Raw genomic sequence first — 14034 nt, forward strand, 5'->3', positions numbered from 1 at the left:
GCCCCTCACCACATCTCAATGTATCTGTGGTGATTTTCCTTTTGCTTAAGTTGCATTCTTTAAGTGGTTATATGTTAGAAATAAATTCTCAGGTTGTATAGTTTGGCTGAAACTATCTTTATTTTGCTCTCCTTCTGGAAAGGCAGTTTTGCTGAGTATAGACTCCTAGCCTGAGAGTTATTTTCTCATATCACATTGAAGATATGACTCCATAACTTCTGGCTTCCATTGGGGAAGTTGAGGACTTGGCCATCCTTACTAGGTGACTTGTCTTTATTCTTTGTCTCTTTTAAGCTTTCTTGGTCTTCTATAGTTTTGTTAAGATTGTTTGGGAATTCATTTGTTGGGTTTATTGGATCCGAGGATCCTCAGATCCAATAAACCCAACAAATCATCAGGAAACAGTTGTCAGAAGACATCATTGGTCCTGTGTTTCCTACGGAAATAAAAAACAATAAATATTGCACTGAATGTTTGTGGTTTGGTGTCCCTGAATAATAAAGAAGGAACATATTTGCAAAAAGTTGCATAGGGTTTTTTTATGCAGAATTTTGTCAGAAGACAGTGGTGCTGCCATGTTTTTCTTTGAGTGCAAATGTACATTGCTAAGATTTTTTTAAGATGGCATGTGCTTTGAAAAGAGGATATTGCATTTTTAAGAGTTTAAAAATCTTATGAGTGAGAAATATTAAAAAATCTTATTTTCCCCTCTTTACAAGAAATAAAAGATGTTCCTCATAAAAAAAAAAAAAAAAAAAAAGGAAATATTAGCCGAATAGGTTATACAGAGTTACCATATGACCCAGCAATTCCACTCTGAGGTATATTCCCCAAAGACTTGAAGACAGGGACTCAAACAGATACTTATACACCAGTGTTCATAGCGGCAGTATTCAGTATAGCCAAAAGGTGGAACCAACCTGAGTGGCCATGAACAGATGAATGGATGAACGCAATGCGCTGTATCCACCCAATGGAATGTTATTCAGACTTAAAGAGAGATGAAGTACTCATCTATGCAGCCGTGTGGATGGACTATGAACAGTTTATGCTAATTGAAAGAGGCCAGACACAAAAATGCACGTATTTTATGATTCCATTTATACAAAAAGTTCAGAATAGAGACAGAAAATAGATTCATGCTTGGCAGGGCCTGGGGGGAGGGGAGAATAGGGAGTGCCTGCTTAAGGGGTGTGGGGTTTCCTTTTGATATCATGAAATGTTCTGGAACTAGACAGAGATAATAGTTGTGCAATGTTGTGAATGTACTTGATGCCATTGAATTAATACACTTTAAAATGGCTCCAAGGATAAATTCTGTGTTATGTATATTTTACCACAATTGAAAAGAAACACTGGCTGGGCACAGTGGCTCATGTCCGTAATCCCAGCACTTTGGGAAGCTGAGGTGGGCGGATCACCTGAGGTCAGGAGTTCGAGACCAGCCTGGCCAACATGGAGAAACCCTGTCTCTACTAAAAATACAAAATTAGCCAGGAGTGGTGGTGCATGCCTATCACCCCAGCTACTCAGGAGGCCGAGGCAGGAGAATCACTTGAACCCAGGAGGCAGAGGTTGCAGTGAGCCGAGATTGTGCCATTGCACTCCAGCCTGGTCAACAAGAGTGAAACTGTCTCAAAAAAAAAAAAAAAAAAGAAAAGAAAAGAAACACTGGTTGTGTTGTGAAAATCCTCAGAAATAGGGAGGGGAGCCTGGAGCACCTAACTGCCCTTCCCACTGCCTTCTCAGCCCCAGAGAGTGTCCCCTCTGTCCTTCATCAGAGCACGCGAGGAGCTCCATTCCTGGTCGTCATCTGAGGATGACACAATGAGTAGGACTAGGACTTTAAAACTAGTGTGTGGAGGTTATATCCTCCATGTACTGCGTCTTAAGTTGGGCCATGTGTGTATTGGTCCCCAAAGCATTTTTTCAGCTAAATTGCATAATGACTGTTATTTTAAAAACTGGAAAAGGAAAATCTTAATGTTACATTATACCTGTGGCATTGTCTTGAAATAAGTTTCACCATTTAAATCCACTCTTCACAGGAAAATCTGAAATGCCCCAGGCTCACCAGCAAGCGAGGCCTGCCCACTTTCTCTTCCTGTTGGCAGCTCAGCTCCTCCTGAGCTAGTGATTTTTTTTTTTAAAGAGATGGGATCTTGCTATGTTGTCCAGGCTGTATTCGAACTCAGACGCAAGCCATCCTTCTACCTGCGACTCCTGAGTAGCTGGGCCTACAGGCACGATGCCATGCCTGGCACCATTGATGTCTGAGCATTTGCCTTAGATGAGCAGAGGAGCTGGACTCACAGTTTAAAGTCTCCTTAGACCTTGAATGCAATGAAGCCCATCCTGACTAGCCTACATATTAGATGGCTGTATTAACCAGGACTTTTGTCCCCACTATCTGTGCCACAAACTGGGCAAATAGTAGTTCCTAAATAACTTACTTTAAGTTGTACCTGTCATGGTTTTAAAATGCTACCCACAAATACTAACAAACTGAATATCAAATTCTTACCCAGTAGTTCTATCCAGTGGCCAGGGTGCCCTGACGGTCATTCCTAGCTGCCCCAATTGCAAGGTCCGCCATTAGCACATTTCTCCCTGTGGATTGCTAAGTGCCTGCCCCAGACCATGCCTGGGCTGATCAAGAGAGGCCTGATTCTTGCATCATCTCTCGGGTGTGGTTGCCTGCTACATTCCCAAAATACAACTTTAAAGGCGAGATCTCTAGTTGACTGTATGAACATGTTCATTTGTGCCTTTGCCAGGGTTACATCAATTGCAGACAGGTTGAATGTGGAATTTGCTTTGATCCACAAAGAGAGGAAGAAGGCGAATGAAGTGGACCGGATGGTCCTGGTGGGCGACGTGAAGGACCGTGTGGCCATCCTCGTGGATGACATGGCTGACACTTGCGGCACCATCTGCCATGCTGCGGACAAGTACGCAGGGCGGTGGGGAAAGCGTTAGGACTTCTCACTAGGAAAGGGAAACACATCAGCTTTTAGAAATTGGGCTCTTTTTTCCTGATTATTGCCGGTCTTGGCAGTGGAGTTTTAGACCAAAGGAGATTCTAGGCCCTTTTATCTTTATACTTCTTTCTCTGGTAGAAAAGAAAGCACGGGCCTTTTCGTTTTCCAGGGTGAGCTTGTAGTGTACCTGGAAAAAGGTCAAAGAAGGTGCTTCCCTTTGCACTGAGCACGACAGGAAAGATGGTTTTTCGGGCTTCTTCAGGCCCTAGCTTCCTTCCATTTGGCTTTCGTGCCAGCCTTCTCAGCCACATGGGTGTCTGGAGGATTTGTAGAGCTGCTGCCCAGTATGGAAGCCCCCACCCAGCCACACGTGGCCGTGGAGCTCTTGGAATATGGCCAGTCTGACTTGAGATGTGCTGAGAGTATAAAAAGGCCACTAGGTTTTGGAGACTTAATATGAAACAATGAATATATATCTCATTTACATATATGTTTTTATGTTGATTACACATCAAAACAATGATGTTTGGCTATATTGGTTTAAACAGGTGGTTCTCAACCAGGAGTGATTTTGCTCCCTGGGAGACATGTGGCAATGTCTAGAGACATTTTTTGTTGTCACGGCTGAGGGGTGGGTTGTCGTTAGTGGGTAGAGGCCAGGGATGCTGTTGAATTTTCCCATAATGCGTAGGACAGCCCCCGTGACAAAGAATTATCCTGGCTCAAGTGCCAAGGTTGATAGTCCCCGATTTAATGGAATACAAAGTGTTTTGCTCATGCTTGAGTGATCCTATCTTAGGTTAATAAATGTGAGTGAAATTTGTTGCATTTTTCTTTTACGGAGCACACTTTGTGCTTTTACCATTCATACTAGGGGAGAGTATTCCAAGAATATTTGCATACCCTTAATTTTTATCTTCTGCTGTTCTACAGGCTGCTGTCAGCTGGAGCCACCAAAGTGTATGCTATCCTTACCCATGGGATCTTCTCTGGACCAGCTATTTCCAGAATAAATAATGCCGCCTTTGAGGCTGTTGTCGTCACAAACACAATTCCGCAAGAGGACAAAATGAAACACTGCACCAAGATTCAGGTACTGTCTATACACCAAAGGCAGCCAAGCAGCCAGGCACCTACTTTAGATCCTTAAAAATAGCATCATGTCTTGTGTGTGTGTGGCTCCTTGCTAAGGCACATGCTTGGCAGAGGCGGCAGCTTCTCATGACGGCAGGATATAAATCATATTAGATCCCTGAAAAAGGCCAGGACCAGCAGAGGTCAACGTTCGCTATTTAGAAATAGAGAGTGAAGAAAATCACAATGGAAAAACAGTCAGAAACGGGTTGTGCTAAAGCTAAACTTAGAATTATCATATGATCCAATAATTCCACCCCTAGGTATATGCCCCCCAAATTTGGAAACATATTCAAACAGAAACTTGTACAGACATGTTCATAGCAGCACTATTCACAATAACCAAAAGGTAGAACCACCCAATGGCCATCAACGGACAAACAGATGGCCAAAGTGTGCTCTGTCGCTACGATGGAATACTATTCAGCCTTTAAAGGGAAAGAAATCCTGACACATGCTACAGCATGGATGAACCTTGAAAACATCGTGCTAAGTGAAAAAAGCCAGATGCAAAAGGAGGAATATTGTGTTTCCGCTTCTAGGAGGTACCTGAGATTGGAAAATTCATAGAGACAAAGTAGAATGGTGCCTATCAGGGTCTGGGGGTGGGGGGGGCAGTGGGGCGTTATCTATCATTTAATGACTATATAGTTTTTGTTTGGGATGATGAAAACAGTTTGGAAATAAACAATGGTGATAGTTTCACACATTAGGAATGTAATTAATGCCAATAAATTGTATACTTAAAAATGGTTAAAATGGCAAATTTGATGTTATATATGTAAATTTTCAACTGATAAGAACAGACACTATACTTGATCTTAGCCAGATAGATAAATAGATAGATACATAGATAGATACATACACACTCACACAGTGAAAAAATGGGGGTGGGAGCAGCAGGCTGAGCTGAGGATCTTCAGAGCTTTGCTCCTTCCCGTCCCTGCTGATTGGATGCCGACGGGCCAGCAGAGAGCTGGTAATCATATAGATAGCAATTGGCCTGAAATAAGTCAAAAGGGTTTGAGGCCCATTTTGCCTCTATGTCGCTGTGAACCTTGGCAAGTCATTTCATTGCTCCAAAGCCTCGGCTCCCATCAGCGTAGCATGAAGGTGCATCACAGTGATCTGCTTCATGATTTCTGATTCCTCAGAGAGAAAAGCAATTTGCTTGACACAAAGCAGTAAGTCTGGAAATGGTCAGGATAGCGATGTCATATATTTTCATGCCTGATTAGCAGTAGTTTAGGATGGGAGTTGGCACACTATGGCTCGCAAGTGAAATCCAGCCTGTCATCTGTTTCTGCAAATTTTTATCAGAGCACAGCCACGTCCATTCATATATGTATTGCCCGTGGCTGCTTTCACGCTACAATGGGCAAGTTGAGTATTTGTGACAGAGACCCTCTGGCTTCCAAGGTCAAATATGTTAACTATTTGGTCCTCTATAGTTTGCTGACCCCTGAGTTAGATGATCACAGTTGTGCTCTTAAATGACGCAGTCACCGCCTTTTCAGAAACAGAAAGAAAAACCTTCCGTATAATGATTAAACTTAATTTAAAACAACAAATGCCCCTGGAAAAGGATGTCTCTGGTTAACAGTATCCCTGAAAAGCCTTCTGTCTCTGCATTGAAAATCTCCCTTCCAGGATCCCATATGGGTCTGGTTCAACGGGTTGTAATTTGAAGACATACCCCAAAGCTGTCTGTCCTCTCAAAAGTGTCGGAAGTTTTGATAGCAACACATCATGTATGCTGCAGAAATTGTTTCTCAGCTTTCCAGCTTTTCAATGTTTAAAGAACTCTAACTAAGATGTCCTGCTTCCCTTCTCCCTTTGTTTTTCTCATTGGCATTTAGGTCATTGACATTTCCATGATCTTGGCCGAAGCAATCCGAAGGACACACAATGGGGAATCCGTGTCCTACCTGTTCAGCCATGTCCCGCTATAAATCCAGAATGGGAAGTGTCCAGCAAGCCTACTCTGACTTCTGACTTGTTTTTGTTTTCTGGATTTTTAGCTGTAGGTATTCAGCAATGATAGGTTAATCACTGGCAAAAGCATCAGATCTTTGTATATGCTAAGATTTATTGTTTCCCCTTCTAAAGCTCAAGATCATTTCTTTCCAGTTTTTGGGGAAATGGTGGTGGTTATTTGGTCTTTAAGTGAACTGTCTTAAATGAGAAACGTTTTTGTCATTTTGACTTTTAACAGGTACAGGTGATCTCTTCCTTTGTTCTTTCAGTACTTTGAGGCGACAACTTTCAAGTATATAATTTCATTGTGGAAGTCATAGTTTATATATTTCGAGGTTGCCAAAGGTGACTTCAGATTAAAGCCTTCTGTGTAAATATATACTGATAATGCCTATGGACATTTGGGTAAAACCCTGTATAGAATTAATTATCCTTTTACTTTGGAGTGAACCTTGGAAAATTTATAATTATAATACCATGGATTTTGAATTTTCCTTTTTTTTTTTTTTTTGGATAACTCAGTTTCAGATAAACCATCTTGGTTACTGTGCTTAATTTGGACCAAATTTTATTTAGCTTAATATGGACACTGACACATTTTGGGGGGTATACATTAGACATATCAGAGCAGTGTATTTCTGGATCATTTTTTAAATGACCTCTTCTAAAACATAACTGTCACTTACCTGAAATGCTGCATCCTAAAATTCCAAAATTATATTGAGCAATCGCCAAGGCCTAAAGCCAACTGACTTAAAGGTAATCATTTCAGCTAAGATTAAATTTAAAGCCTAAGAATGTATAGAGCTAGTTTTAAAATAATGATCTCAGATTTTTAAAAAGGATATAGGAACCTGCATTGTCATTCTCTGAATTAAGAACTGATGGTTTCTATCATTATTTAGCCCCACCTTTGTATTTTAAAATCCTTCAGAATACATTTATGAACCAATGCGACTGGACTTAGCCACACACAATGGAAATTCAGACCTTGACTATTTGGTGTTTCCAGTTCACAAAGGTGATGAAGACTGTCTTGGGAGCAGCTTAATCCCAAAATTTGTACATTTCTTGCTGCTCCTGGCGTGGAAACTTAAGTGAGACCACCAAATACATTGGTCCTGTCCAATTCTACTGAATGGGGGTGGACCTGGCATTTATCTGGCCAAAAACAGGAGCCAGAGAAATATGAATATACCAAAGTTGTTTGTTTAGCCTCCAACTTAAATTACATTAGTCAACTTATAGATACTCATATGATCACTTTTCTTTTTAGATACTACATCAACTAGATTCAGGAGTATATCATTTGCAGTGCTTGTATTGGTTTAAAATGTAAGATTTTAAGATCCTCTAACACTGTACTAAAACATTTCAATAAAATCATTCTGACTGCGTTCATAGTTTGTATGTATCATTGTGGAGTAATATGTTTTGACGGAGTGATGTGTTGCAGTACCTGAAAATGTTTGCTACTTTACGATTATAGGCCAGCATACAAAATTACAGAAAAGCCAGAAGTTAATTGATGTCAGCTGTTTTCCATTTTGAAGGTGTTTCTTCCTGAAGAACTTACCAGCAATCGCCTTTCCTCAAAGCGTAACAGCTGTGCCACATAAGGTGTCCACGTTGTTAATTCCACATGTTTCCTATAAAATTAAAGATGGTACAGTGTGTTCACGCATCAGAGTAGTGATGTTCAATATCCATCTATTGGAGCAAACCAAACTTAAATGTAGGCTGCATAAAACTTGTTCATATTCATTGATTTCAGAAGCACCGAGGAGGATTCCTGTCCCCATAGAACAGCCTGTTCAGTGATACTTCAAACTACTCTCGTGAGCGCAAAGTCAAGTCATAATTACGTTCCCCTGGTGAAGCTCAGCTGTAAAGTATGTGTAACACTAAGAATGGCAACATGGTGTCTTGAAGTCACAGTGAAATATGAAGAATTACATCCAGGTCCATCTGAGAAAAAAGGTGATCACAGTGTGAGAGAACATGATAGAATGTACTAGAAAGGAGGGAAGTGAAGGAGAAGTGAAAGCCAAAGACACTTCATCAGCTTTACAATTGCACTTAATAATGCTGCCACACCTCTTCAGAGACGTTTCATTTCCTATGGCATGTCCTATCTAATCCCCTAGCTGAACTACAGGGGACAGGGAAGTAGTGAAGGGAAAGATGGAGTACTAAGGCGTGCAGAGGTTGGAATCACGCTGGGGATACCAGGAAGGGCTCGGTGATCACCATTAGACGGTTCACGTCGGAATTTTCCAGAACCCTATGGTGTGTTCCAGTGTGGACTGACGCAGGACAGCAGAGGGCGTTTGGTACATGATGTGTTTGAGCAAGGATGTGCCAGGGAAGATGGGAGTTAGGGGCTGAAACATACTCAGCTATCCTGTATCTAAATTGCGTGAAATCAACAGGGCTCCTCCTTCTCATTACCAATATTTATCTTCCTGATTTATCTCCCTGTGCCCCAGGAACACATCCCTCCACCTTTTTTCTGCCCCTGCTTTCCAAGATCACATCCTGGGTGGTTTCCTTTATTGCAGTCTTTGAGCTCTGTTTCCTATTCTGAAAGCATAATGCCCAGGAACACAGACTTCACCACTTACCGGAGTTTAAAAACCAACAGCAACAACGACCTTGGGCTGGTTGCTTAACCCCTATGCCTCAGTTTCCTTACATGTGAGATGGGGATAATAAATGAGACGTTATGTGTAAAGTGTTTAGAATTGCTTGGTTTGTACATTAACTTCAGTTTTTAGAGTGAGCCTCCTGAAACTCCCCTAGAAAGAATGTAAGGTATGAAGAGGCAAGATTTTCATGCATTTTCTAGGTGTTCATCCTAGAGGGGAACAGACTGCCCTCCTGCCATTTTAGAAGGGCTACATTGTCTTGGCATGTGACTGCCTCAGTGAAGGGTAGCATTTAGGTGACAAATAGTTGCATGTTAAAAAAAAAAAAAAAAAAAAAACTTGATTATGCTGAAAGTAGTGGTTCTACCAGCATGTCCCGTGGTTCCAGCGCTGGTTTTGCCCACCACATTAACATTTTTTTCGCCCGAGGGCCAGCACTACCAAGTAGAATATGCATATGCTTTTAAGGCTATTAACCTGGGTGGCCTTCCATCAGTATTTGTCAGAGGAAAAGACTGCTGTAATTATCATACAGAAGAAATGCTTGACAAATTATCGGATTCCAGCACAGTGACTCACTTACTCAAAATAACTGAAAACATTGGCTGTCACTGTGATGACCGGAATGACAGAGGTACAGAGGGCACGCTATGGGGCAGCTAACTGGAAATACAAGTACGGCTATGAGATTCCTGTGGACATTCTGTGTGGAATTGCTGATACTACTCAGAATGCTACAATGAGGTCTCTTGGTTGTATGATTTTCATTGGTATAGATGAAGAACAAGGCCCTCAGGTGTGAAAGTATGATCCTGCAGGTTACTGCTGTGATTTAAAGCCACTGCAGCAGGAGTTAAACAAACTGAGTTAACCAGCTTCCTTGAAAAAAAAAAGTGGGCCGGGTGCGGTGGCTCACGCCTGTAATCCCAGCACTTTGGGAGGCCGAGGCGGGTGGATCACCAGGTCAGGAGATCGAGACCATCCTGGCTAACACGGTGAAACCCAGTCTCTACTAAAAGTACAAAAAATTAGCCGGGCGAGGTGGCGGGCGCCTGTAGTCCCAACTACTCTGGAGGCTGAGGCAGGAGAATGGCGTGAGCCCGGGGGGCGGAGCCTGCAGTGAGCCGAGATCGCGCCACTGCACTCCAGCCTGGGCGACAGAGCGAGACTCCGTCTCAGAAAAAAAAAAAAAAAAAAAAGTGCAAAAGAAATTTGATTGGACATTTGAACAGACAGTGGAAACTGCAATTACATGCCTGTCTACTGTTCTATCAATTGATTTCAAACCTTCAGAAATAGAAGTTGGAGTAGTGACAGTTGAAAATCCTAAAGTCGGGATTCTTACAGAAGCAGAGATTGATGCACTCACATTGTTGTTAGTTTACCAAATCCATGATGCCACTTACCTGTGTGTTTGGTAACAAAAAAAACAACATTATGGAGGTCCCTGGATTGAAAAAGGAGCCTCTCCCACTCCTCCTACTACTGAATTGATTAGGACTCTATAAATAAAAGCAATGCTTTTGGTATCTCAGCATTTTAGGAGGCCAAGGCAGGTGCATCACCTGAGATCAGGAGTTTGAGACCAGCCTGGCCAACATAGTGAAACCCCATCTCTACTAAAAAATACAAAAATTAGTCAGGCATGGTGGCGCATGCCTGTAATCCCAGCCACTTGGAGGCTGAGGCATGAGAATCACTTGAACCTGGGAGGCAGAGGTTGCAGTGAGCCATGATCACACCACTGCACTCCAGCCTGGGCAACAGAGCAAGACTGTCTCAAACAACAACAACAGCAACAACTTTCAGCTGAGTGCCGTGGTGCATTCTTGTAATCCCAGCTACACAGAAGGCTGAGGCAGTAGGATTGCTTGAGCCCAGGAATTTGAGACTGGCCTGGGCAACATAGAGAAACCCCGTCTCTTAAAAACAACAACAATACTTCCAGTGGGCTGTAGAAACAACAGGTAGGAATGAATGTCATGTGATTATAGAGATGGTAATCAATTGAGGTCATTTACAACAACCTGATTTCATTGTAGCCCTCATTCACCATCCATCCCATCATAAATACAACCAAAAGTGGTGCCCAATATAAATGGGAAGAACAGTCTTCACTATCCTAACAGCCGAGTTCTGTGGCCAAAAGAAAACCTGGCTGAATGAATTTTACATTTTAAGAGAGTGATAAAAAAAGAGAATAGGAAAGTGAAAAACATAATGCAGTGGAAAATGCCCTAAATTGGAAGTGTGGCGATCTAGATTCTGGTTCCTGATATGCTGCTAGCAAGCTGGGTGACCTTGGGAAAAATGTGTACACCACTCTGGGTATGAGCATCTTTCTGCAAAAATTAGAGGAAAGATGATTGCAGAAGTCCCCAGCAGTTTTAATAGGCAATGCCATTTATGCTAGATGTAGTTGGAATAGTTCTAACTGAAGGCACAGATGGTTGCTCTCAATAGGGTGACCAACTTGTCTTGGTTTGCGTGGGACTTTTCTCGATTTAGCCCTGAAAGACCTATATCTTAGGAAACCCCTCAGTCCTGGGCAAACCAGGACGTTTGGTCTCCCGTTCCCTCTTCTAAGGTGGATAGTTCTGCATCCCCGGCACTACCTTGGTAAGGAATCCCACGAGCATGGCTTTGATCTTGTGCTGGTTGCAAAAACAAGCAGGCTATATGATGAGCCCAACAATGTGCAGGGCACCTGTGGTATCACAGGTCTTTTAAAATCTGTTCAACTAACTATAGAAGCTCAAGAGCTGTAGTCACAAAATCAGAGAGAAAAAGCAGGGGCACCTTTAGAAAACACCTTCAAGCCTGGCTTGATTGCCAGTCCTTTGGCACAGCTACCTTTAACACCATAAGTGGTCTTCAGAGACCCCAGGGAACAGTCCAGGCAGAAGGCAGAGTGCTCTGAAGGTTACCTGATGTACGTTGTCCTTCCGCACATTGAGAGATTCTTAACATTTGTGAGGGCATGGCCATCTGTGTCTGAGGACGTATGATGCTCTGATTTTCCCTACACAAGGAGTGCTAAATCTAGTATTTTCTTGCATGGAAGCTAAGACTGACCATGAATTATGGACATATTTTAAGAACTAAAACTGAACACGTCACTCTTTAAAATCATCCTAATGATTATTTCTGGGCATATTTTGATGTACATTTACCATAGGATAAGCTCAGTATGTGCCATTGACATTTACTCACCCAAGGAACCAAGGAGCGACCCTAAATTTCTTTTCTTTTTCTTCCTTTCCTTCCTTCCTTCCTTCCTTCCTTCCTTCCTTCCTTCCTCTCTCTCTCTCTTTCTTTGTCTCTCTCTTTCCTGTTTTTTTTGAGACAGAAGGTCTCACTATATTGCTCAGGCTGGTCTTGAACTCATAGTATCAAGCAATCCTCCTGCCTCAGCCTCCAAGTAGCTGGAACTACAGGTGTGCACCACCATGCCTGGTGCAACCCTAAATTCCTTTAAGTCTCAGAAAACCTTGTATTTAGGACCAAGGCTATGGAACAGAAGAATCAAAAGAAAGATAGGCAGAGATCCCTCTCCACAGCAATGGTGATCTGACCTCGCATTAATTTCTGCACCTGGATGCATTCATAGCATTCAAAGAGCAATTCTTTCTTGAACACCGACCAAGACTCATTCCTTGTCCTAACAACAGTCAGGCTCCTCTGAATCCTCTCCTTGACCAGACCTGTCTTGGGCTTCCCTCTCTGTCATTGTGGAATTTAGTTTGAGCAAGAATCCTGTGAAGTCAGTTTATCAAAAAAACTCCTGCCCTTGGTATCTGACCACCCTCGATATCTTATCACCCAGGCTTGCCTTTAGCAAGAATTCTATTTGAGTTGATCTAGCAAGAATCCCTCCTACCCCTGATGTTTCCTTAGTGGTTTTCCATCCACGGCCCCCAACCCTGCTCGTTGCTTACAAATCCCCACTTGTCCTTGTTGGAGTCAGAGCTGAGATTAATCTCTCTCCCCCACTATAAGACCCCATTGCAGTCTGTGGTCCCTAAACCTATCACAAAGACCCCCTTGAATGAAGTCTTCCTTAGTGTCTTCAATGAATGTGATGAATAACTTTTTTTTTTAACAATACAAAATTCACAGAAAAAGTCCTATGAATTAAAAAGCACTCTGGGGAAAACCAGTTGGCGCGAGAGTTATTTTGGAAGAATCAATAATCCTCCACTGATGTGCATTGGTACAGCCATAAACACACTTTCAACCCTTGCGTTTTGGAGAGGTTTTATTACATGTACATAAATTAGGAACTTTAATACATCGGAGAAATACCACTTGCTTCTCTGTATTTTGACTCATGTGAACATCTTGGCTTAGACATATGTCAAACGGAAAATTCATATTTTTAGTCCTTCCACAGGCAAAATGAAGGAGTTGGTCTTGTTTCATTCATTCATTCATTCATTCATTCATTCATACACTCAGCAATCCCTTATGAAGCACCTATTAGTATACCATAGTGTTAGGATGCGGCTGTCATATAAGTATGAGATAAATAAAATACATGAATAAGGCTTATGTAAATCTAGCCTTCAGAGTTGACACAGGTCGTTTTTTGTTTGTTTGGTTGGTTGGTGTTTTTTTGAGATGGAGTTTCACTCTTGTTGCCCAGGCTGGAGTGCAGTGGCATGATCTCAGCTCACCGCAACCTCTGCCTCCCGGGTTCAAGCAAGTCTGCTGCCTTAGCCTCCCGAGTAGCTGGGATTACAGGCATGTGCCACCACGCCCGGCTAATTTTGTATTTTTAGTAGAGATGGGGTTTCTCCATGTTGGTCAGGCTGGTCTGGAACTCCCAACCTCAGGTGACCCGCCTGCCTCAGCCTCCCAAAGTGCTGGGATTACAGGCATGAGCCACCGCGCCCAGTGACACAGGTAGTTTTATGCACAATCATTTGATGTCAGCAACACAGAAGTATGATGGCACCATGCTGTAGGCAGGATAATTTATTTGGGGTGTGTGAAACAGTGGGGTGACCAGGAAAAGGCTAGGAATGTGGCCTGCTGGGTTCAATTCTCAGCAGTGATTCCAACACTTTATCCCCCTCCCCAGATTTTCTGGTATATCAGGCTTTGTTCTTTTAGTATTTGTGTTGGTGTGTTCCTATTCTTTTGGTATTTAAAAAAATTGGAAATCGGAATCATTTATATTGTGAGCCTACAAAGACAGCTATATTCAGCATTAAAATGCAAAAAGAACAAAGGTGCACTTGTTTAAAAAGTATGTGACCCCATCTCTTCCAGATCCTCCTACGAGATACTCC

The 14034-nt window shown here is 42.3% G+C and overlaps 1 protein-coding gene and 1 pseudogene across 2 annotated transcripts in view, besides 1 other annotated feature; both read left to right on the forward strand.

Moving 5' to 3' along the window:
• PRPS2 (phosphoribosyl pyrophosphate synthetase 2) overlaps window positions 1-7493 on the forward strand; it is a 32811-nt gene extending 25318 nt beyond the window's left edge. For both annotated transcript variants that reach the window (NM_001039091.3, NM_002765.5), the window contains exons 5-7: window positions 2778-2951; window positions 3915-4074; window positions 5975-7493. In NM_001039091.3, coding sequence (NP_001034180.1) covers window positions 2778-2951; window positions 3915-4074; window positions 5975-6067 — 427 coding nt within the window. In that variant the 3' untranslated portion in view covers window positions 6068-7493. The remainder of the gene's footprint in view (window positions 1-2777; window positions 2952-3914; window positions 4075-5974) is intronic.
• Window positions 3078-4277: an enhancer, noted in NCBI's record as "MED14-independent group 3 enhancer chrX:12837926-12839125 (GRCh37/hg19 assembly coordinates)". NCBI's record gives its function as "activates an origin of replication core promoter dependent on BRD2, BRD4, P300/CBP and CDK7 cofactors, and independent of MED14, by STARR-seq in HCT116 cells {active_cell/tissue: HCT116}" and the evidence as "EXISTENCE:reporter gene assay evidence [ECO:0000049][PMID:35650434]".
• Window positions 9082-10267, forward strand: PSMA6P2 (proteasome subunit alpha 6 pseudogene 2; annotated as a pseudogene).

The sequence above is a fragment of the Homo sapiens genome, chromosome X, assembly GCF_000001405.40.
Source record: "Homo sapiens chromosome X, GRCh38.p14 Primary Assembly".
NCBI classification, from domain to species: Eukaryota; Metazoa; Chordata; class Mammalia; order Primates; family Hominidae; genus Homo; species Homo sapiens.